General features: G+C 39.1%; 1 protein-coding gene across 3 annotated transcripts in view; it reads left to right on the top strand.

Moving 5' to 3' along the window:
• Nucleotides 1–21,467, top strand: part of PNPLA4 (patatin like domain 4, phospholipase and triacylglycerol lipase) — a 29,478-nt gene extending 8,011 nt beyond the window's left edge. For all 3 annotated transcript variants that reach the window (NM_001172672.2, NM_001142389.2, NM_004650.3), the window contains 3 exons: nt 7,621–7,686; nt 17,573–17,725; nt 18,897–21,467. In NM_001172672.2, the coding sequence (NP_001166143.1) occupies nt 7,621–7,686; nt 17,573–17,725; nt 18,897–19,028 (351 nt within the window). In that variant the 3' untranslated portion in view covers nt 19,029–21,467. The remainder of the gene's footprint in view (nt 1–7,620; nt 7,687–17,572; nt 17,726–18,896) is intronic.

Genomic DNA, 25,740 nt, shown 5'->3' with positions numbered 1-25,740 from the left:
GAATGACACCCAAAACTGTCCTTACCCTAATCCCCAGAACCTGTCCAGATATAACCTTACCTGGCAAAAGGGATTCTGTAGATGTGATTAAATTAAAGGTCTGAGATAGGAGGATGATCCCATATTATCCAAGTGGACCCAAACTAAGTACATGAATCTTGAAAAGTGGACACCTTTTCTGGATTCTGTGTCATGGCTGGTTTGGAGATGTAGCAACCACATGCCAGGGAAGCACAGAGGCTTCTCGGAAAGCAGGTCCCCACTGACAGCCAGCAAAGAAAAGGGGGCATCTGCCCTTTAACCTATGGAACTGGATTCTCCTAACACCTGACTGAGCAAGGAGACACATTCTCCCCCAGAGCCTCCAGAAAGAGATGCAGCCCTGCCGACACCTGGATTTTCCCCAGTGGGACCCATACCAGACTTTGGACCCTCAGACTGTGTGACAATACATGTGTCTTGTTTGAAGGGGTTAAATTTGTAGTAATTTGTTATAACGGCAATAGCAAACTATTGCTGTTAAGAAAACATGACGTTTTTCTAGTTCCTTTGTTTTGGATAATAACTATTCAGAGAATTTGTGTAATTACTTGAGTTCATTGAACAGAAGAGAAATTGTTGACACAAATGTGTAATACTTTGTAAGGAGAATATGGAATAATTGACATTTATTCTAGGTTCTACAAGAAACATTCCACGTGTTTAGGAGGATGTTTTAACATTTTTCAGAACTAAAAAGGAAGGATGAATAGTTCCTTGATAGCAGATGGTGATTATCAAACTGTGAAACCTATGCCTGGAATACTCATGAAGCATTTAGGGGAAAAGAGTGAGAGTGCGGGAAGACTAGGGATGATGTAGCAAAGGAAGAAGTGTGAAGAGGAAGTAAAGTAAACCCCCTGCCAGGTAGGGACATGATCAAGTATATATGTTCCGGTGAAAGAAGTGGCTGGTGGGAGAATGTTGTCTGAGGTGGTGCCATGGGAGGATGGTGCTTCCGACCTTTTTGGTTGGGACTGGGGAGGCTGCCTGAAGGTCACCCCACTCCCCTTAGGTGGAGACAGGAGGCTCTGAAGCCATGCATTGAAGCAGCTCGATGATGGGTAGCTGTGGGTCTCCCAGGGCTTGGCACACCTCGCTCTGAACATACAGCCTGGGGTCTTGATATGGTTTGCCTGTGTCCCCACCCAAATCTCACCTTGAATTGTAGTTCCCATAATTCCCATGTATTGTGGGAGGGACCCAGTGGGAGATAATTGAATTATGGGGATGGTTTTCCCCATCCCATTCTGTTCTCCTGGTAGTGAATAAGTCTCACAACATCTGATGGTTTTATAAGGGGTTTCTGCTTTTGCTTCTCTCTCATTCTCTCTCTTGCCTGCTGCCATGTAAAACGTGCCTTTCACCTTCCACCACGATTGTGAGGCCTCCCCAGCCACATGGAATTGTGAGGCCATTAAACCTCTTTTTCTTTATAATTTACCCAGTCTCGGGTATGTCTTTATCAGCAGTGTGAAAATGAACTAATACAGGTCTACTTCCCAGTATCTGGATATTCTGTAGATGGGAGGGGATGGGAGACAGAGAGAAAGAGAGAGGTTGATTAAAACTCAAGTTAGAGTAAAAGAGCATGGGAGAGCATGAAATACTAAACACTGGTGATTTTCACCTTCTTTAAACTTTGCTCCATGTTGTATTTTCTGTTTTTATCATTAACTCATTTATTCTGCTACTTAATAGTTGAATTTTTTAAAAAATGCCTAGTTTTTCATTATCCACTAGCTGACTGATGCTGTTTGTTACAGAGTGCCTATGTACCTGAAAATCCAACTAGAAACCTGTAGCTTAGAATATGTGAGAGTGTGTGCTTGTGTGTTTGTGTCTGTGTGTGTATTTTGACGTGTTTTTGAATCTCCTCAAGAATGATTACTTGTTTTATGAGTGTCCCGGTGATCATGTCTAGGCCTGTCGTTTCCTGACGTTGTCCTCTTGGACTGATTACTTTTGAGTCTCAGTTTTCTCATCTCTGAAATGGAGTAATTCACACAGTAATACTAATGAGTGTTACTGTACAGAATAAATAAGATAAAGCATGTGAAAGTGTGTTTTAAATGATAAAGCCCTTTATGCATGCTGAATGGAGCTAATATTTCATAAATAATGAACGAATAACATAATAACCCACACACACCCCTGCTCAGCACCCTTGTATGAATCTGTCATGAAATTTTAAAGCCATATTAAATCACAACTTTCTTTTCTTCAGGCTGAATAGGATTACTTTTTCTTATCAGTGTTATTCTTTAACCCCTTGCTTATTACCTGTCTTCATGAACAATGTGCTAACCGATATCTGTAATACTTCAGGAAATGGTTGCTACTGAGTTCTTGCTACCTTTAGGCATCTGATTTTACAGCTCATCATTATAAGCCTTCTTTTTTAAAATAAATAATTTTGTGTGATGATTCATACTTAATTTATCTTAATGAGCTTCACCTTTAGTAGCATGGAAAAATCACTCATTTGATAGCTGCAATGCTAGTTGATTGTTTTCTTGAAACCCTTGTGGACTGTGTGGTCCAACTATTCATTTTATTTGGGGTTGAATTTCCACAGAATTTTGAATCTTACGTTCATGAGGATTTAACTCAGTCTTTTCTACTTTATAAACTGTTATAAGACAGGTGCAGGCCTTAAGGCATTCCTTTGTTCAGAATTTATTGGTGCCAACCATTCCCCTCCTCCTTTATAGTAACTGTACTGACAAAGGGAAACACAGATGATGTCTGCTCAACTACTTGAAGGCAGCCTGCAGAGGGGAGACCCCTTTATAGAGTTAACCAGAGCCCCAGGAGGCCCCCCTCCAAAATCATGTCTTTATTTCCCGTCTGAGAGATTTATTTCCAGGTGCCACACCCAGAAAAATGTTACCCCCAAGGATGACCCTTTATGTCTGTGGGTCGCCAGCAGATCAACACCAAGCTGAGATCAGTTCCTGCAAATGCAGATAATTTAGGGAATTGAAAAGAGTCATGGAGGGGTGGTACACATCCACCTAACCCTGTTGTTGGTGGGCTCTGGGACCCTTGGCGAGTCTCAACTTCTTGGAGCCTTGGTTTCTTCATCTTTAAGATGGAGACCTTCAGAACAAGGTCAAATGAAGTATGTATGAAAGTATTTCATCAGCTCTTAAGTACACACCAGATGTGCATGGTCACCTTCAAGTGCCTCCACTCTCCAGACATCCATCCCTTCATACTGTTCATTATTTAGCATGATTCCTTCCTGATTCCTCTCCTGGTGTGCCGCTCTACACAGTATCCCCCGAGTGTCAAGTGTGTGCATTTTGCATACCAACTCATTCATTTCGAGTTCCAGATTTTATTGTGGGCTCTTTTTCTTTAGAAGCATGCATGCAACTAGGAAATCCAAACACATTTTAATGTTAGCCTTCAGCAAAGCCTAACTAGGGAGGTGAGCCCCTAGGTTAAAAGAAAGTCATATGCAACTTCCAAGGCTGAGCTGAAATGATGCATAAATTAACAGTGCAATGGCGTCGTAGAGTTCCACTACTTCCCTGAATTGGTACAAATCATTGAATTCTTCATGTTTAAGACTGATGCACAAGTGTTTTCCGAAAGGGTCTTTTGACACGTGTGAATGCTCTAGGGTAGAGGTACCCAGGAAGCCTTTCCTGCACCATAGTGTCCCTGGCCGTCTTGAGAAAATTCTGCCCTGTCTCTGTTGCAGTGATGTCCTGAATTTCTTTGCATGTGTGAGAATGCTCTTAACAAGATCCTCTCACATTTAGCCTTGTGAAGGTGAAATAAAAACTGAATTTAAGATTGGTCATTATCTTGGAAAAACTGAGGAAGATAAATTTGAATCTGTCTTTGAATTTGAACTACAGCAGCAAGTTCTGTATAAACAGTTAATTCTCATTAAAGTCCACAGTAAACTTTAGGCATAAATGAAACTTGCTGAGAATTTAATCCCTAAGGAAGCTAGGCCACATAATTTTCTAAATACCTCTTTTCTGTAAAATGCAAAATGAAGAGAGTCAATCAGAACGTGTCGGGAATGCGCACCTGGCGATGTTTTATACAGTTGCTACAGGAAGACACTAGCTCTCATTTTTATCATTGTGTGTTTAGTAAGAACACAAATCAGTGGTTTCACATATGTCCAACATTTAAAGTGCTGTACCAAGTGATAGGGTGTGAAAAGTATACCCCTGCTTTCCACATCAGCGTTCTCAACCACAAACACTGCACTCCTGGCAGTAAGGGCCCAGATTATTACCCAGATAGTTATGTATTGTGACAGCTGTCTGTCCTTTGTAGGAATTTGAGCAGCATCCCTGGTCTGTGTTCAGTAGATGCTAGCAGGACACACCCCCCCCCCCACCCTCCACCCCAGGTTATGACAGACACATTGCTAAATGTCCCTAGCGGGTAAAATCACCTCCAGTTGAGAACAAGTGCTGTAGACGTGTTGAGGTTCATTGGCGAGGTGAATTTCACTGGGAATATTGTGAGGTGAGATACACTAAAAGCACATGTTTAGGCATAATATTTTATTACATGACCTTAGAATGTCAGTCTTTATCTCCTTTCTTAGGAAATTCTATTTGCCTGCAATAAAATGGCAGTAAGCTGACTACAAATAAGAAAAGCTGCTTAGCTCTTAACTATCTAAAGCTAATTTCCCAACTAAACTTGGTTTGATATACAAATCATCAGTCCATATAAAGGGAGAGTCAGCTATGACAAAAACAAATACATTGATTTGGAGAAGTGACAAGTATTTTCCAGTTCATTGCACTTTTCATATCATTTAGGAGGATTCTTACTGTTATTATCTGTAGGAAAGTAATTGGATAGCATTTTTCATCCAAATATCTCAAAATAGTTGCAAGCATTAACTTGTGAACTCTACATTATACTTTGACACGGGGGAAAAGAAAAAAAAAACATAATTCTAAGGTTAGTGATTTTTTTGCAGTCCACATGTCTCTCTGCAGAATAGTGAAATAAATCATTATATTTATGTATTGTCTTTGGTTCTTTAAAGACCTCTAAGTACTGTAATTTCACAATATGTACGCTATCTACAAATTGCTCTAGTTATTGCTTTGCAGTGTTGCATTTGCTGAATAACTTCATTAAATAGCTACATTGTGCTTGCGAAACATACCTAGGGTCTGTGATTATTTTTTTAAAAGCATAGCCAATTGATGATAAGGTCAGGTTTAGTTAGGGTGAATGCAGTTACCTTAACCGTAAACAACCTTTCTCTGAAGCCAATGATGTCATTGCTACCGGTGGACTGAGAGGGTTGGAGTTGAAGATGCCTGCTTTCTGTCCTCTCTCTCCTATTGATTTATTAAGCGATCTTCACCAAATCACCCAAGGTGCTACTCACTCCTGCTTTGCCTCTTTGTGAAAGAGACATGATTGCTCTAATGTCACAGTATTGCATTATGCGGGCCATTTAAAGTTGAGATTTTGAGAAGAATGTCACAGTGCGGGCATGTCCACATTGACATTTTGTAGAAGGTTGGCAGACCTTGCGTGAGGTTATTATTATGCCTTGTAATAAATAAATAAACAAGCACATAAAAAATAAATAGAAGTGCATGCTTTCCTTTGGGAAACAGTGCTGCAAATTAGCATGCTTTCAATATTTCAATAAACAAGCGATTGAGATAGATGTGCATGAAATTGACCAAAAGATGAAAAAAAGACCCATTGTGAGAAATCTGACGTGTATGTTGGCTCTGGTAAAAATATACATTTTATATTAAATTGATTCTGGGGACAGTCTCAACCACGTATTAGCAGAGAGACCTTTGAGCAACTTTATCTTTTTGAGACAGGGTCGAGAAATAATTAAATGAGACACTATATTTGAGGCAAGGTCTACTTCATGAATGTATGACCTGTGCATTTGCACGTGGCTCCACTATCCAAAGGGCCTCACCATTGGTTTAATGCTCTGCTGTCAACATCTTAATATTCTCCATACTTTCTGAACAGGGGGCCCTGCATTTATCTTATTTTGGACAGGACCCAGAAATTATATAACTGATTCTGGCACCTAGCACCAGCATGGTGCAATAGAACCCTTTCACACTTGGCTATTTCTTACCTTCTTTCCTGCTGGAGTCCTTGTGTTGTGCTGTTACCCTTGAATTTGCCACTGCTGAAACCTGAGGCCCCAGAAGCTTCTGTGGGCACTCGTCAGGAGCCTGTTGCTATAGGAGCTGTTACAACCAGGCCTGTGCCTTTGCAACCAACATGCCACCAACAGCACTGGGCAACCTTCTTTAGTGCCACTATTGAGGTAGGTGGAGGAGTGTTGGGTCCATTCCCATCACAGAGAAGGGAGAGAGATACCCAACAGATGTTTGTTGAGTACTAACTCTGCCAAGGGCTGGACATACCAGGAGAGACACAAGTCCCTCTCCTTTCAGTGGGTTTTTTGGTAATGAGGAAACAGGAGACATGTCCAAGGAAGAACCACTGCATAAGAAAGCTATGGAAGTTCCCTGTACCTGGTGCAGAAATAAACATGGCAAGAGTGGATTCCAGCTGTGTCGGGTCACAGCTCAAAAGAGGATTTTCCTATGGAAATTGTTATGCTGGTGACTGAGTCTGTAATTTAGTTGCAGTTCAGAATAAATAGGCTTTTGAGAGCTGACCCAAAAACCATACCTATAACATTGATTTTTGGAGGAAATGCCTTCTGAGTTCTAAATAATTGTAAGTGGATGATCTGCAAGTCAGCATTTGAGCCATAATCCATTTCTGAATAATGTATGATGAAAAAAAACTCATGAAATCTTTGACAACAAACAGCCAGAGTCTTTCACTTATCAGTTGAAAGATTATAGCTTAAAAAATATTCAGTATCTAATGCTGTATGTTTTCAAATAGAACACTAGTGATTTGGAAACTACACGGCAAAATAAAACATTTACATTTCAGAAAAGCTATCAGAGCCCAACTTCCCATGATGTATGGAATGGTAATTTCCTAAATGACAATCTTTTTCAACTGTTTAAATGGGAGATAAAGCATAATTGATGTCACTGCTTGCCAGGGTTCCATTACATATCCTGACCACGTCATTGGAACATAAAATATGCCATTCCCTTTGCAAATCCTGGTGACATAAATGAGAACATCTCTGAGCTGCGGACTAATCTCTCCTGTCATAATCGGAGGGCTTTGTTCCTCCAGAAAGCAGGAGTGCAACTGTAACATGATTTTTACAGTATATGATGGAACATTACATATAATTTATCTGTAACCTTTACATACTCAGGAACTTAGACTTACCTTAAATTTCATTTTGTAGTAACTTGTGTGTCTACTATTAAAATGCTGATTTTTACCTAGGTGAAGTTGATTGATTCAGAGTATGTCAACTTGTACCTATCTGTTTAGAGTCTTTTCCGATATAAAGTGTTATCTTTTATGTAATTACGTGCAGTGCTGCACTTGAAGTCTGTGGGGCTTATTTATTGAGATTTTGCTAGTCAATACTACATCAACTGTATTGTCTGAATGTTCATGCCTGTAATCATGAGCTGCTTCTTTATTTTATCCATCTAGGTCCTCCTAGCCAGCAGTTTTGTGCCCATTTATGCAGGACTGAAGCTAGTGGAATACAAAGGGCAGGTAAGCTTGTTATAACTGAGGAATTACCCTCCTCCCTATATTAATATGTTTCTTTTGAAACATCCAATTTTATAATTATTCTAGTGGCTTCAAATCAGTTTATGTTTTTTTCCTCCTAAATAGCTTTGTTTCTCTTTAAGAGGGAAAGAATATACAGGGCTAGTGATAACTTATCATCAAGATCTTGTGAATGGGAATGATTGACTGTGATGCTCTTATTTTCATCATATATATATATTCTGTTGTTGTTAGCAGTGAACGATTTTTTTTCCACCTAGTAAAGTCCATACTCACAGCCCCTTCTAAGCAGAGTTGTACCACCGTCAGGGTGAGAAAAGGCTTTAGGGCTCCACACCTTGTCCTCCCCCAGACAATGCGGCATAGGTTCCTTCCAGCCTGTCCTCAGCCCCTCTGCTAGGGGACGACCCACTCCCCTCCAAGGCTCTCTACTTACCCAGACACGTTGATCACTGCAAGGCCAAAACCCATTTTGTTTGAGGAGAGTGCTCCTCACTTGGAGCTGGCACTTAAGACAGGATGCCAGTTCTTTTAGGGAAATTTAGACATGGGCTTCCACCTGAAGTCTGCGCTGACTGTGACCCAGCTTCCTTCTGTGATCTACACAGAGTTTGTTTTGAGTATTCACCATTCGACCCAAGGCAGCTCCTCCATTGCATGGACACAGGTTCAACATGAGCATTTTATTCTCAAATATAGTGTCTATTTCACATATGTCACAGATACGTATTTTATAACCAAATATAGTATTTGGTTTAATGTGTTTATTTAACGTATACTGGAAACATGCATTTTATAATTAATACAGTAGCTATTTTACAGACACCAGAGATATGTATTTTATAATCAAATAGAGTATCTGTTTAGCACATACCAGAGATATGCATTTTGTAATTAAATGCAGTATCTATTTAACACATACCAGAAATACGCATCTTATAATCAAATGGAATAGCTATTTAACACATAGCAGAGATATATATTTTGTAATCAAATAGAGTATCTGTTTAGCACATACACCAGAGATATGTATTTTATAATCAGTTATCTAACAATTACTAGAGATATGTATCTTTTAATCAAATATTATACCTATTTAACACATTCCAGAGATATATATTTTATAATTAAATAGAGTAGATATCTAACTACTAGATATCTAAATAGAGTAGATATCTATTTATAATTAAATAGAGTAGGTATCTAACACATACCAGAGATATGTATTTTATAATCAAATAGGGTATCTGTTTAGCACATACCAGAGATATGTATTTTATAATCAGAGTATCTGCTTAACACGTACCAGAGATATGTATTTTTTAATCAAATATAGTACCTATTTAACACATGCCAGAGATATGTTTTATAATCAAATAGAGTAGATATTTCATACATATCAGAGATATATATTTTATAATAAAAGTATTTAGCATATATCTAATAAAGTATCTATTTAGCATATATCAGAGATCAAGCATATATTCAGGATGAATAAATTACATTTATTTTATATATATGTAATATATATTTATTTATTAATAAAAGAGTACATACAAAGTGCTTTAACCATCTTTCATTCATTCATTCACCCACTCACCTTGAGGGCCCAGCACCAGGCCTGTGCTCAAGGAATTGATGGTCTCTCAACAAAAGAACTGAGTTTTACAAACCCTTTGGCTAATAGGATCGAGGCAGTGTCTCTGTTCTGATCTCATCGGTCCTCATCAGTGTCTTTCCTTGAGCTTTGCTGAGCTTTGGAATTTTTTCTTTTCTCTCTAGTGCAAATCATAATAGGCTTCAGGTAATATGGAGAATGTATGTTTTGATAGAGCAGAAGGTAATGGGTTGAGAGTGAGTGGTAAAATTCCACATATTCAGATGCTGTCATTTGAAATACTTAATGTTGAATTGACAAGTAAAATTACTTTGCCACTTAGGAGATTAGAATATTTTTCCTCTATGTCCCTATTACGCCAGTCTCTCACTTACAAATTAAGAGTGTTTCTATCTTAGAAGGAGAGGCAGGTGGTAGAGGCTCCAGGTTCTCTTCCAATATACACTTTCTTCTTCTTTCTTAGTAACAGAATCCCAATTTTTATCTGAACCTGTGGCTGTGCAGCTAGGTTATACATCCCAGCTTCCCTTGCAGTTAGGTGTGGCCATTTATTTCATTGTTGGGCAATGACATGTGAGCCGAATAACTGTGGGACTTACAGTACAAGGAAAGTTGTATATCTTTCCATTTTTCCTGTTGCCCAGAACTTAGATGTGATTACTGGAGCTCCAGCAGCTCTTGTTCATCATGAGGTCAAGGATCACACCCTGAAGATGGCCAAATAGTGAGCTGGAAATACCCAGGTCCTAAATGATTTGAGGAGTCTACCTTACCAGCCTGCCCTCGATATTCCTGTTACCAGAAAAAAGAAGTAAAACTTTTTTTTTTTTTTTGAGATGGAGTCTCACTCTGTCACCCAGGCTGGAGTGCAGTGGCACGATCTCAGCTCACTGCAAGCTCCACCTCCCGGGTTCACGCCATTCTCCTGCCTCAGCCTCCTGAGTAGCTGGGACTACAGGTGCATGCCACCAAGCCCGGCTAATTTTTTGTGTTTTTAGTAGAGATGGGGTTTCACCGTGTTAGCCGGGATGGTCTCTATCTCCTGACCTCGTGATCCACCCGCCTTGGCTTCCGAAAGTGCTGGGATTACAGGCGTGAGCCACCGTGCCCAGCCTAAAACTTTTGTTATTATTGTATACACCAGAATCCAGTGCTATCTGCTGTAGGGATTCTTACTTCCAATTTTACATGTGAGGAAATTGAGATGTAAAGACATCAGTCTACTTCACTGAAGTCACTGAGCTTGGAAGGGGTCAACTTCCCCAAGATAGTCCTTAATGTTTCTATCTTTGCTATGCCTCTTACTCTGCTTTGCCCTTTAGTTCTTTTCAAACAATGCGTTCCTTGTTTTCTTCCTGTCCAGCCGCAGCGCCATGTTGTGGGTGTGTGACAGGAAGACTAGCAATGTTTAAAAGGGCATGAATGAGGAATCAGTTTCTAGTGAACTTTCCATGATGTGATTAAGTACTTTGGACATGGACATAGAGTGACAGCCACAATTAAACAGCAGGGAACGCACAGGCCCAGAACTGTGAGGAAGATGGAAAGCGACCCACCCAAGCCCCTTGACCCTGGACAATGTCCCAGGACAGTGTCTTGCTGATCATGTGGTGTCTGTGCATAGGAGGCACACCAATAATTACTTGTAGAGTTGAACCTTATGTCTCCTGAAAGCATTCAGTTTTCCTCTGTTGTTTAATGGAGTCCACAATAAGGGGGCCTCATGCACATGATTGACAGAGAGCCACAGCGGCCTTGCATTGTTTATAACACCAGAAAGGGACAATTTAGAAGTGCCATTCTCTGCTTAACACTAACTCTCTTTAAGCCTGATCACCTCCCACATTCTAATAGGGCTTCCATGCCGAGTTGTTTTCTAGAATCTTTCCTTTCCATTTTCAGGGAAGCGTGAATGTTGCTTTAAATGCAGTGTTTTAATGTGGGTATAAGCTTTTTATGTGACTTAAATTACATAAACATTTCAGTTGTGCTGAATACACCTCTTATTTTCTAGATTTTCATGTTTTCATACAGCTCAGGTTTTGATGTATTTGTTGTCTTTAGTTGTTTTTCTGAAGTGACGAAAGTGGAGGTGGCAGAAGGGGAAAAAGGGACTTAGCGTTACTTATATTTGTGGCACTGAGTCAGGAAAGGCAGAGAAAGTGGGACTCAGCCAACAGGGGCAGAGTCTAGTCTCTCCACTTGTGACTTTTGTTAAATACACAGACCTCCTCATTTCTACATTGCGGGTATTACTGGATTTTATTAAGATATATTTGTGGATCCAATATGTGCATTAAAAAATGTTTTTATTAATCGCTTAGAAGAATCATACCTTAATAAGACTTAAGATTAATTTCAACCACAGCAAATACCAGTATGAGTCCTTTCAAAACCCTCTACCAGTGATTTAAAGTGGAATGATGTCTTTGAAAATTGCTTTTTCTTTTTAACTTGGGAAACATGGCAAAACCCTGTCTCTACAAAAAAAAAAAAACAAAAATTAGCCAGGCATAGTGGCATGTGCCTATAGTCCCAGCTACTTTGGAGGCCGAGGTGGGAGGATCACCTGAGCCTGGGGAGGTTGAGGCTACAGTGAGCTATGATCACACCACCGTACTCCAGCCTGGGCAACAGAGTGAAACCCTGTTTAAAAAAAAAAAAGAAAGAAAGAAAACTGCTTTTTAAAAAATATTATTTTAAAAAGTTCTGTAGCTTTCTCTGGCTTCATCTTATGACTATTTTGATACCTTATAGTACATACTCATTAATAGATTTGTCAGTGAATGAATGGAAATAAATTGAAGTTTAGTCCTATATTTTTGACTAATGATTTTTCTTTACTACATATGAACTCTTTCCAGTGGTAGAATAAATCCACAGGAATGTTCACACATTTAGGCCATGTTTTCACAGATTCTTGTCAATTTGGAATAAGAATGAAAATTTTCAAGAGGAATTCTTAACTCATTTGTTTTAAGAGATAGAATTAGCATTGGCAGGTGACTAAAATATCAGAATAAAATCATCTCCAGAACTGGCACATGCAGATCAGAAGAAAAGCTGTAGGGTTGGCTGGGCACAGTGGCTCACGCCTGTAATTCTAGCACTTTGGGAGGCTGAGGCGGGCGGATCACCTGAGATCAGGAGTTCGAGACCAGCCTGGCTAACGTGGTGAAACCCTGTTTCTACTAAAAATACAAAAAATTAGCCGGGCATGGTGGCGCATGCCTGTAATTCCAGCTACTCGGGAGGCTGAAGCAGGAGAATTGCTTGAACCCAGGAGGCAGAGGTTGCAGTGAGCAGAGATCATGCCATGGCACTCCAGCTTGGGCAACAAGAGTGAAACTCTGTCTGAAAAAAAAAAGAAAAGAAAAGCTGTAGGATTTTGCATTGTTTCTTTCATCTGAGTTGGAATTCAAGTAATATTTTGACTGTGTAGTATTACAAGATCGCTTCTTGGCCTTTTGGTTAAGATTAAGTATATACTATTACAGGAACGTGAAAATGCACTGTTGTATTACCCTAGTCCATGCGGATATGGGTCATTTTTCCTTTCATTATTGACACTTGTGTGGGAAAGAGAATTGTGGAATACTCCATGTAACTGTGCTTTTATATGAGGTTGATACTGTGGTCCTTAGGCTTCTATTTCCTCGTGGCTTAGACTTTTTACATGGAAATGCAGCTCTGTCACTGTCATAGCAAACAGTGGTAGCTGGCCTTGCCACCAGCTAGATTTGGCTGGATGGAAACCTGGATATCAATTTCTAGTTATTCTGAAATAGACGCTCTTATTCTTCAGTCACTTTTTAGATTTTTTTGCACTGTCTGTTTAATTTTTGAAACAACATGTTAGTCCTCTAGGAAAAATTTTCTGTATGGTGTTTATAGATGGTCAACTGTTAACCCTTTAGAGCCTTCTCAAAAGTAGATATCTGGAGTCATCATTTTTAATCATCCTTCACACATGCAAAAACCAAGAAAGCAATGCACCAAGAATCAATGCTTAGTAGAGGTTAGTATGGCAGGTTTCTCAACCTCTCTTTTAGAATTGTATTTTTACTTGTCTTTCTTTGATTAAAAAATCTCATCTGTCTCTTCTTCCCACCGTAATTGGAAGATTCTCACCTGTGTCTAAGGAAGTGGATATCTCTTTGTCTCTTTCCCTCTCCCTTCTATTTTAGGAATTGCTAATCAAGAGCATTGTTGGGCATTGCTGTCTGTAGGCTATCTCATGAAAGCAATGCAGATATGTTTGCAAATAAGAAATTATTGTTCAAAGCACATTTACTTCTTTCTCACCCCTCAGAAATCAGTTCTAATTTGCCCTGCCCCATCGAGCATCCCTGAATTTTACAGTGTGCGAGAAAAAAAACCTGAAGTGAAAAGACAACTATCCCTTCTTGCCTGTATATTCTATAGCAATAGATGTTTTATTCTCTGTAAAGTATCAGATAGCAAATGCTTTCAACATTGTCTCTGTCAACACACCTACTCAACTGTGCTGTAGTAGAGGGAAGCAGCCGCAGGCAATATCTCAACAAAAGGTCCTGGTCATGTGCCAATAAAATTTTATTTACTGAAGCAGATGGTGGGTCGTAGTTTACCACCCCGTGAACTATAGCAAGGAAACCTGCAAGCCTCAGTTTCCTCTTCTGTAACATGAGGGAACTGAATATACAAGCATGACCTTTCTGCCTTACAGGGTTCGCATATTAAATTATACATGTGAAATCACTTTTAAACTACTAGGCCCTCTGCCATGGTATTTATAATAATTATAGATAGCAACATTCATTCTTCCAGCAAAGTATTTTTTATTCACTTGTTTTTTGAGCAAAATATACCTTAAGAAAATGGAGCCCTTCATGGAAGTTCTATCAAAAACATATCCCCAGCATCTACCATACATCCAGACACACACTAGATGCTCAGGGATCACTTGCTGAATGAATAAACTGGCCCTTTCAGTACAGGTTAACTCATCAGGTCCTTTCTTAAGTTTTCCACTTGCGTTATGTAATAGCAGTTACTTGAATTCATAAGGCATGTTCTCAATAGCTACCCATAACACATGAATGTCTAAAGCGAAGTTTAACAAGTACTGCCAGATGAATATTCTAGCCTGTTTAGGTGTAATGGGTAGCCTTATCTCTTTAGAAGTGATTCTATTAATTCCAGTTTTCAGTGCTATAACTTTCAGAGAACAATCACAGTAGATGTCTGCCCCACAATTGGGCATGAGTTTTTTTGTTTTGTTTTTGGTTTTTCTATTGAGCAGTTGCTTATTTCTATGTCTTAGGACTCAGGCATTGACTTGAATGTGGAACACATTTAGAATATGGCCAAAGATTAGAGAAAAGAGTAGTAGGTCTAGCAGTGGGACTGAGAGGTGGTCACTGTACAGCCTGTAACGAGTATGATTTTGAAACTATTTTGCCTTGGAATTTTTATGTACTTGCTCTCCCTTTTCCTTTGAGGATGATGGTGATATGTGATGAAAACTGACAAACACACAGGAAAACTCTAACGGGGTAGACCAGCAGCTATTTTTCTTAAGGACAATTTTGGAGTCACAGAAGCTCATGGAAGTAGCTACCAGCATGTAAAATGCTGCCCATGAAGCAAGAAGGTGGGAATGACTCACAGCCATATGTTGTGAACAGCCAGAGAATTCATGGGCAGAAGTGTTTACTATGCAAGATTTTAAACTATCAGTAGAGCACAAGATATAAAATGTTTCTACTTTTAATTTGGAGGTTGAAGAATATTTGTTGTTGTGACGGTTGTTTCCAGAAACTGCTGGAATCTGTATGCCCGAATGAATGTGTGATTGTCCTAAGTGATACAGCTCGTGAGAGCATAAATCAGGAGTAAGAGGTACCACATTTAGCATATCTGAGCAGTGGGGCTATAGCATCAAGGGTTGTGAAGGAGCCGGTATCATTGCAAGTTTAATCAAGTGATTTGATAAGCTGCTATACATTTTCCCTTGTCATTTATCTAATCAGAATAAGCTAACAAGAGTGAACAAAATTTGGAAAAAGGATTTTCGATTCCCTAAAACAGCAGTCATTAACCCCACAGTAAATTAGAACACTTTTTAATTTACTGAGCCAGATTGCCCTTCTTTTCATTAAGTTGAATAAATCAGAAGAGCTGTTACTTAAAGTTGCATATCTTTAATTTTTCTTGATGAAACCTGTATGAATTTTTACATCGTTGATGACAGCTTCTGTTGACAATATGAAATAATTTTGGAAGCTGTCTTTCTTTTCCCTTCTGGGTATTATCCTATTCCAGAATTTGATATTTACACCTAAAGCAATCAGGGAAAAAAAGCAGGTTCTGGGACAGAATCAGATATTTTGGAGCCTTTTTTTTTGCAAACCTCCCTTTTAGATCATACAGTTACATAACCAGCTATATTTTATGTATACATATGGGTACATATATAAACACACATACACAAACACATGTGTACATGCATATACACATACACATATAAATAAGTATGTGTAATACACATAACACATAATATATCATAATCTTTATATCTTTTAAAAATAATGACAATATGCAAATTATGCAGGTCAGTTTTATTTTAATCCAATCTACTTATACTCTCTCCTCCACCAAAATGCAATTCTCTCAAAAGGAATTTTCAACCCATTTTTATCTTTTATTTATTTACTTTTATTTCCTTTGGAGGAGTTTGTGGCTGTCCAGAGCCTTTGTAAATAATGTAATACCACTCATTTTGTCATCAGCTTTAGAAATAAACACAATTGGCCAGGCGCAGTGACTCATGCCTGTAATCCCAGCACTTTGGGAGGCCGAGGCGGGCAGATCACGAGGTCAGGAGATTGAGACCATCCTGGCTAACCCGGTGAAACCCCGTCTCTACTAAAAATACAAAAAATTAGCCGGGCATGGTGGCGGGCGCCTGTAGTCCCAGCTACTCGGGAGGCTGAGGCAGGAGAATGGCGTGAACCTGGGAGGCGGAGCTTGCAGTGAGCTGAGATCACACCACTGCACTCCAGCCTGGGCGACAGAGCGAGACTCTGTCTCAAATAAATAAATAAATAAATAAATAAATAAATAAATAAATAAACACAAGAAGGACATGAAAAAGACACATTGGAAGAAATAAATGCATGGTTTTAAGTGAGTTGAGAACATTTTATTTTGGCCTGTTTCTCCCTCCTCTTGCCACCTTTATGTTGAATAACAAAGGTTTGTTTTATCTGCATTGCATTTTACACATTGAAGCAAAACTCAGTTTACAAACTTCACTAAAGATTCCTGCATACAGGACTTTCAACTGTTACCAGACTTTTTGTTTTTTTGTATATTATCTGAAGGCTATTTTTAATAACAGATAAACTTAGACAATTTGGGTGTTATTTCCATGTGTGTTGTGTTTATTGAGTGCTATAGCTGATCATGTGAATACATCAGATCATGGCTGCATTGAGACTGTTTGGCCTTGGAATAGACAGCAGAAGGAATATTGTCTGTGTGGTTCTTCAGTCACCATTTCTCATTGTGCGCTTCTGTAGAGCTAGGGGCTGAGGCTGCACACACCTTGAGCACCTCATTGTCCGTCCTCATTGCCCCAAGACTCTTTCATTTTCTTCCTTGGGAGGCTTCTGTCCTCCGCCTTCTCCATCACTCACTCCCCTTTGCGGTGGGCTTGAGAGCACTGAGTGCCTACTGAGGAATGTGTGCTTTGATGCAGCACTCCCATTCCTTATGGCTTCAGGACATGCCCCTTGCTTCAAGAGCACAGGAACCACTTTGGAATTAGAAGCATTTCTAGTTGCTGTATTTACTTTTTAAGTTTGCCACAGAAAATGCCAGTTTCCAATTCATATAATAAAAATGGAACCTCCTCTGCTGGTGGATGTTTTGTTCAGCATCCACAGTAAATTTGACTTTTTAGTTTGATTAAATAATGAACCCCAATCTAATTACACATGGCTTCTTAAGCATGCACTGTAGTCAGTAAGAATTCAAGTCTTACAGACAATAATCTAGTTAAATTCTGTCCAGAGTTGTTCTTATATTGGTAAGTGATATGTGTACCAAGATTTGTTTTACCCCCAGAACAGATCCCCAATGGGATTAGTCCTCAAAAATAGCAATTTAAAAGCATATCCAAGGCACACATATTATTAGAAGCTGCTTTTCTTTGTGCAGGATGTGTTGTTGACGTGTGCTGACGTGAGATGTTTCTTTCCACAGAAGTGGGTGGACGGAGGCCTCACCAACGCTCTTCCCATCCTGCCCGTCGGCCGGACAGTAACCATCTCCCCCTTCAGTGGACGACTGGACATCTCCCCGCAGGACAAAGGGCAGCTAGATCTGTATGTTAATATCGCCAAGCAGGATATCATGGTGAGTAATTATGTTCAGTGATATTTGAAGAGTTCTGATCTACTAAAAATTCCCACAGAATTCAACGTGTTTCCCAAGCACTGGAAGTTCATTGATAATTGTAGGTAGGAGTTGCATCTTCTCCTTAGTGTGTTGTTTAATACTTTATAACATGTATCAGCCATAGGAACGGGGCTAATTTTTTTATCTTTTGTAGAGACAGGGTTTCACTAGGTTGCCCAGGCTGGTCTCAAACTCCCTGGCTCAAGTGATTCTTCCACCTTGGCCTCCCAAAGCACTAGGATTACAGACATGCACCACGCCCACCCATTTTTGCTGCTTATTAACTGTCACTGCTTTTTCTTCACTTCTTTTTTACATCAATAAACTTGGTAGGATATCAGAGCAATTTTTTTCTTCTTTGAGAGAGGGTGTTGCTCTGTCCCCTAGGCTGGAGTGCAGCGGCAAGATCATGTCTCACTGCAGCCTTGACCGCCCAGGCTCAGGTAATCCTGCCACCTCAGCCTCCCAAGTACCTGGGACTGCAGGCGCGTGCCACCACACCCAACTACTTTTTTAAAAAAATTATTTGCAGAGACAAAGTCTCACTGTGTTGCCTAGGCTGGTCCTGAGCTCCTGGGCTCAAGTGATCCACCTGCCTCGGCCTCTCAAAGTGCTGGGATTACAGGCCTCAGCCACCACGCCTGGCCCAGAGCAATTTTAAATAAAATCATTTATTTGCTTAGAAAGATGGAGGTAATGAAATATATAAAAATAGTGGAGAAAAACTTAGGGACCCAAATGAATAATTGACATAAAAATACTGATTCCCTTAATCTAGTCTAATAGTTTTCCACATGGGATGATATTGTACTAGACATTTTTGGTTATCATGTCCCAGTGGTGCTACTGGCATCTGGTGGGTAGAGGCCAGGAATGGTGTTAAACGTCCTGCAGTGCACATGACTGTCCCACAGTTAAGACGTCGTGGCCCCAAATGTCAGCAGTACCAAGGCTGAGAAACTCTCCTTTAGTGTATCAGTGGAGGTAACTTCTGAAGTTTAAATTTTTCCTACTGATTTTTTGTTACTGCTAATTGTATCTGTGATAAGAAAACCTAGATTATAAAAATAGTGTATATTTACCTGTACTGCAATATCCTACAGCTTAAATTTTGGTCTTTTTATTCTAGTTGTCCCTGGCAAACCTGGTGAGACTCAACCAAGCCCTTTTTCCCCCAAGCAAGAGGAAAATGGAATCTTTGTATCAGTGTGGTTTTGATGACACTGTTAAGTTTTTACTTAAAGAAAATTGGTTTGAATAAAATGCATAAAAGTTTATAATGCAAAACACGTTTTAGATAGTTTTTGATGGAAGTTTCTAATCAAATCCTTTTTAGAAAATCTATCATGACTCAATTGTATTACTCCTTGTAATATTTGTGTTTATTTTTAATATTTGAATTATTACTTAGCACATGGATATAAGAGGCACTTTATTAGAATTTGACAACGTCATTAAGAAGGATACACTTAGGTGATAAGGAATCATTTTTGGTGAACTGTTGTGTCCTTTAAAAAATGGAGGAGGATAGGTTCTTTGGGTAAATTGAGGAACATGGAAAATGGAGGGCCACCACTTAGGTTCCATGGAGAATATGTGGCATGATCTTGACGTGAAGCATGGGTGTTTCCGTGACTTAGCTGTGTCCCTGTAGCTCTGGAACTGAAGGAACTAGGTAGGAGAGGAAGGATTTGAGAAATAGGCAACTCATGGTTAAAGACCTTTGATCAGGACTGGAGGAACAAAGGTTTGTGTATTAGTCCATTTTCACACTGCTGAGAAAGACATACCCAAGACTGGGCAATTTACAAAAGAAAGGTTTAATGGGCTCACAGTTCCACATGACTGAGGAGGCCTCACAATTGTGGTGGAAGGTGAAAGGCATGTCTCACATGGCAGCAGACAAGAGAAGAAAACTTGTGCAGGGAAACTCCCCTTTATAAAACCATCGGATCTCTTGAGACTCGTTCACTATCATGAGAATAGCATGGGAAAGACCTGCCTCCATGATTCAGTTACCTCCCACTGGGTCCCTCCCACAACGTGTGGCAATTGTGGGAGCTACATACACTTCAAGATGAGATTTGGGTGGGGACACAGCCAAACCATAACAGTTTGCTTTCCACAGGTGTGTGCAGTTGCTCCCAGTGCAGTTAGGGGCAGATATCCAGAAGCCTAGGAGATTTTGAAGAGGCTTATCCCCTCTCATCTTCCTCCCCTAAACCCCACCCCAGTTTAGGAGATTATCAAGCTGGTTGTCATTCATTCTCTCTCTCTCTCTCTCTCTCTCTCTCTCTCTCTCTCTCTCTCTCTCTCTCTCGCCATACCTCTCTGAGTATTTAGCTATTGTTCTATATACTGGATACATCTATTATGGGAACTTAAATAGATAAAATACTACTAAACACAAAGAACCAAGTAGCCTAGTAAATAAGAATTAAATCCAGAATAATCATTCACTTCTCATTTTTAAATCACGTTGTACTGATCCCAGGTTTTTTACTTTCTGAGTAGTTGTCCATCACTTTGAGGACTTGTGTATGGGCTTGTACCAATTTACTGACACTGTCTTAAATCCTAAATCTGTTTTTATGAGGTTTTGCCAAGCAAGAACTCTTGATTACTAAGAGGCAGTTAGAGACAAACCAATTTAATTCCATGTCTTCAATTGTCACGCATTTCTTCTTTTACTCTTTGAAACTATTCTTTGAGTCAATTTTATGGTTCTCAGAAGCCAAAATACACAACTTTTAGCACATAAACACCAACGATGGCCTCTTTTTGAGGAGTTATGCATAGACCCACTCTAGAGTAATGATGGTCCCTGTGGTATATACTTTCTCCTACTCTAGCAAACATGTAGTTTAATCTTAATGTGTTGTTTCCATAAGTGACATGAAGTGGATAGATTCTCAATTGTTATGTCCACTTATTCACTAGGTAAATTTTCAGTTTTAATACTTTTCTCCTTACCCCTTCCTTTGATCATTTCATGTGAATATTCTATTTGTATGATACACTGTATTTCAATAAATTCCTTGTTGATGTACCCTTAAATTGAAGAAATTTAAGCTGCAAAACCAAATCTCATTGTATAAGACTTTTTTGAAGTATCTTGTATCGACTACATATGTATTTGACCCTGTGGGAGGATGGTACTTTTCTTTTTAACTTTTATTTTAAGTTCAGGGGTACGTGTACAGGTTTGTTATAGGTAAACTTGTGTCACGGGGGTTTGTTGTAAAGATTAATTTATCACCCAGGTGTTGGTACTTTTCTTTAAAAATACTGTAAGATCATTGACGTATCAGTCTGCAGCAACTTTCCTACATGAGGGGAATACAGCGGTGTAATGAAACACATACTTGGTGCACACTAGGCGCTCTCCGGGGCTGGTGCACCAAATTCTCCTGTGAGCATGCTACCAAGCATGCTCTGCTTACCTTTGCTGGAGTGTGTGCTCATGCAGCCATACTAATTGAAAACAGGCATTCACAACAGGATCTGCCTCACTTGTGGGATCAAAATTTTGAGGCATTGTAGAACTGGCATATAGAAAATCTGAAAGGAGTTTCTGACCCAGATACTGATATGTTTGCAGGGTAATTACTGTGATTGGCAGCTTGATAAATTCCCAATTCCCTGTGGGGGCAATTTCCTTATATATTTGAATCTGTCATTAAAAATGTCATTAGTCTTCCTTTTCTTCTTTTCAATAAGACACTTTACTATGTAACTATGGTAACCCAGTGCTTCCATTGACAATTAGAGAAAATAGGTTTGGTTTTGAAGTTCAATAGTGCTCTAAAGGAACAAGCCATATATTAAAAAGTAAGAAAGAAAAAAAAACTGTTAATTCTGGGTTCTTAATATCAGGTGCAGGGTGTGTATACTAGAAGCTTGCAAAGATACAGTCTCACCACTCTGGGCATTGAATTTTGATTCTAAACAAGCATGAGCACTCAAAATACACAGATATTAGTGATTATGCTTTTAATTTTTTGGAAGATTAAAAAAGATAAATACAATTACATAAAAACATGTTTATAAATATTAGTCGTAGAAAGTTTTTGGATCCAGTCTATTACTTTTACAATTGAGGAGCCTAACTATGGAAGATCAGTGTTTTGGGATTTTTCTTGCCTAAATTTTGTCTACGTGATAGCAAAATAAAATCAGAAGTTGAAGTAATTATCTAAATAAAGTAGGAAGGAAGGCAGTTATTGCAGTTCATGTAAAGTGGACAGATTTTTAGACAGCTATCATGATTCTGATTTGCAAATTGACAGTTTCTTTGGGCAGAATTCACCATTTATTTGCTTAGTTCTGCACTTCAATTTTTTTCTAACTGCACAACTCAAAGCTCTGCTTACTTAATGCTAACACACATGTTTATTTTTCCTCACACATATCCCCTAACTCAGTATAATTTCCCCATTTTGACTGACTTAGAGGGGAGAAATATGATTTAACTTTATTCATACTTTAGAATGCATGTCTGAGTACACAGTCATGTACAAGTCATAATATCACATCCAACTTAATCTTGAAATAAGATAATTTGTGAAAAACATGAATATGAACAAACATACTTGCACATATATATGTATGTACATATACACATACCTAAAACATGTCACAGCAGCTGCATTTTAACTGTGCCGAGATGAAGCAGCATTTATGTAATGCCCGATTTCACTGAGTTTATAAGTGCTCTTTAACCTTTATATAGTCAGATTCACTTTTGTGGACAGACCTAGTAAAGTGCATATGCGTACTCTACTCTTGGAAAGCCCCACAGTTCCAGCCAGTCCAAGAATATCAGCCCTCCCTTGATGGGCTCAATGGCTTTGCAACATGACCTTCCAGCTATGGCCAAGCTCATGGCCCTGCAGGTGGGTCCCTGATTCATAAACTGTCCCTTGCAAGATTGGACTTGGGCCGTGCAAAAGTCTACTGGGCACTTTTGTGGATCCCTCCCTTCACGGAGCTCACCTGAGCAACTAAGAAAACAATCATGTGAGATAATTCAGGCCACACAAGCAATGTGAAAGGGCCAGGAAGCTTGAGGAAGATTTACGGTGGCTGCTTCTCCTTTTGTCCAACAGCGAGATGTGCTGGTGTCTGTTGCTAGCCAAGACAGGGACTTCACTATTACCCCTCACCCACCACTCACCTGGACACCCACCACTCACAAGAGGACCCCCTGGAGGAAAGGCTCAGGATGACACATGTTCAAATCCTGAAGTTACTCCAGGAAGAAGGTAAAATGGTCGAAGGGGTGATCACTGGGCTTATTGACACTGTGGACACATCAACCCCAAAACTTGGTTCCTGGCAAGGTCATGGAACTAGGCAATTTAGCTCTACTGATCAACCTCAGTCAGAACTATCTCTTGACAATTTCAAATCCAAGGGGGTTACTAGCGCCAATCACTCCCAGTGAGGGAAATGATCTGTTCTATTTTGCCATTTCTGGTTCCTCCTCCTACTGGCTGAACAGAATCATGGTAATGGATGATCTTATTGTACTTGTCAAGGGGAGATGGATTTGCTGCCATATGATGGGGATAGGGAGGAATGAGCATGAAATTGGGGTAACCCCTCCGGTTATCCAGTCTACAACCAGCACTAGTGGAATAGTTAGTGGGAAGCCATTGCAACCTTATATGGCAGAAGCAAGGGTACACATCCCTGAGGACCTAAGGTTTGAGTCATGTCACTGGAAAATGGACTCTGATCACCTGACCTGTGCCTGAAAAGGAAGCCACCTGGAATAGAGAATGATTGAGGAAAGTCAATGTCACCTCAGAAACAGTGGCAGCCACAGTGACCTAGGATGGCCAACCTGATGCCAAGTAGCTGAGTTTTAGAAGCCTGTTCTCCTACCAGCTGCCAATAGTAGGAACTGTTCATATCATATCCTTCCAGTACCTGCTCTGTGTGACTTAACACAGCCAGGGTCTATTACTTGCTGCTAAAGGACCCCACTTAGAGTCAATGTACACTTGACCCTTGGAGAAAATGGGTTTGAACTATGAGGGTCCATGTGGATTTTTTCAGTAAAAATTACACCAAGTGTGCCTGCCTCCCCTTCCACTTCCTCTACGTCTTCTGCCTCTGCCACCCCTGAGACAGCAAGACCAACCCCTCCTCTTCCTCCACCTCCTCAGCCCAGTCAATGTGAAGACGAGGACAAAAACCCTTATGATCCACTTTCGCTAAGTAAACAGTGAGTATATTTTATCTTCCTTATGATTTTCTTAATATTTTCTTTAGCTTACTTGATTGTGAGAATACAGTGTATAATTCATATAACATACAAGGTATGTCTTAATTGACTGTTTATGTTATTGGTAAAGCTTCCAGTCAGTAGTAAGCTCTTAGTAGTTACATTTTGGGAGAGTCAAAAATTACATGTGAATTTTTGACCACAGGAGTGGTGGACAGGGAAGTCAGCACCCCTAACCCCCATATTGTTCAAAGATGAACTGTATATAAATACCTGCCCAACAACTGGTGAAAAAGCAGATGAGAACTTAACAATTATTTCTTTATTAATTTCTTATGTTAAAAAATTCCTGTGTAGGGCAGCACAGTTGTGCTTGTTTTAGGGTACCTAGGTCTTTCCTCCTAAAGTAAGCATTGAAAGTTAGGAAACATAAAGGGGCTTTGATTAGGTTGTCATTTACAAATATGCAGCTTTGACATGTGTCTTTAAAACAGGAGAGGTTGTCATCTGTCTCCCAACTAGGAACCTGGTGCTTAACTAGAACTTACGTGTGGGGTAAAAGAGTAGGAGTGTCCGCCTTCAAATACAACATCCTTAACACTCAGAAACTGAGAGGAGGAGCTGAAGGAGATCAAATGGCTTATCACATTATCATTCCTTACATTTCACCATGAAGTTGTTTTTAGCTGACAGTCTTTGCAAAATCCTCCTCACACACTAAGAACTGAATACATTTTGGTTGCATATTATAGCCACCTATGTATTCTAATGTTTGGTACAACATTTTCTTCAATGACTTCCAATCTTTCTTGAATATGACCTGTTTTATAAGGTAATCCAATACATATATGCACATATTTTACACATATATTTCCATATGCATATAGGTGTACATATGCAAATATAAATTTGAGTAAAACTATTTACTCATATAAATAAAAATAATTTTTATGAAACACTTTTATTATGTGTAATATTTTTTGAGGTTTTTATTCCATTTTGATTTGTAAAAATTGTCATGCTACACTTAAATAATTTCACAATCACTAATGGATCACAATCTGCAGTTTGAAAACATTCTAATGCAAACTTAGAACAACACAGACACTGAAATTCTCAACTTGTGTTTAAAAGACTTTACAAAAAATATGGCATCCAAAAATAATTACTACTTTATTTAAAATAATTTCCTATTCTTTCTCCTCTTAAGTCTTAGATATGTTTTATTTAACTTTATGGCTACAGAATATCTCAGAAATTATTTCTGCTCAAAAGCATGATTATTTTCTATGGGTGCTATGGATAAAAATTCCTTAGTTTATGTATTTCATCTATATAAAGCTACTTAAATGGTGATAGTCATTCCATGATGAAATTCTTTAATCAATTAATTATATAAACCAAAAAGTATTCTTATTTTTTAGCCACATTGTGGACATTAAGATAAAGTAAATATACCTGTAAGTATGCAAATACTTTATATCTAACATAGGTCATTGTCACCTTGCAACAATAAACATAAAATCAGTTGGCTAGATTGTCCTTGAACAATTTAGTACACCAGGCCACTAGCATGAAAAAGTGCAATTGATTTCATTTTCATTTGTTGTTATTTTATATAACAACAGTATATAATATATTTTTAATTGTGTTTTACAATACCTTCACTATCTCTGTCAGTGAAATAATTAACTTACTGTTAAAAAAAGAATGCATATGGAGTTAGAATATGCAATCAACA

Source organism: Homo sapiens, chromosome X, assembly GCF_000001405.40.
Source record: "Homo sapiens chromosome X, GRCh38.p14 Primary Assembly".
In the NCBI taxonomy this organism is placed as follows: Eukaryota; Metazoa; Chordata; class Mammalia; order Primates; family Hominidae; genus Homo; species Homo sapiens.
Note: the sequence above shows the minus strand (reverse complement) of the source record. Positions and strands in the feature narration are given on the sequence as shown.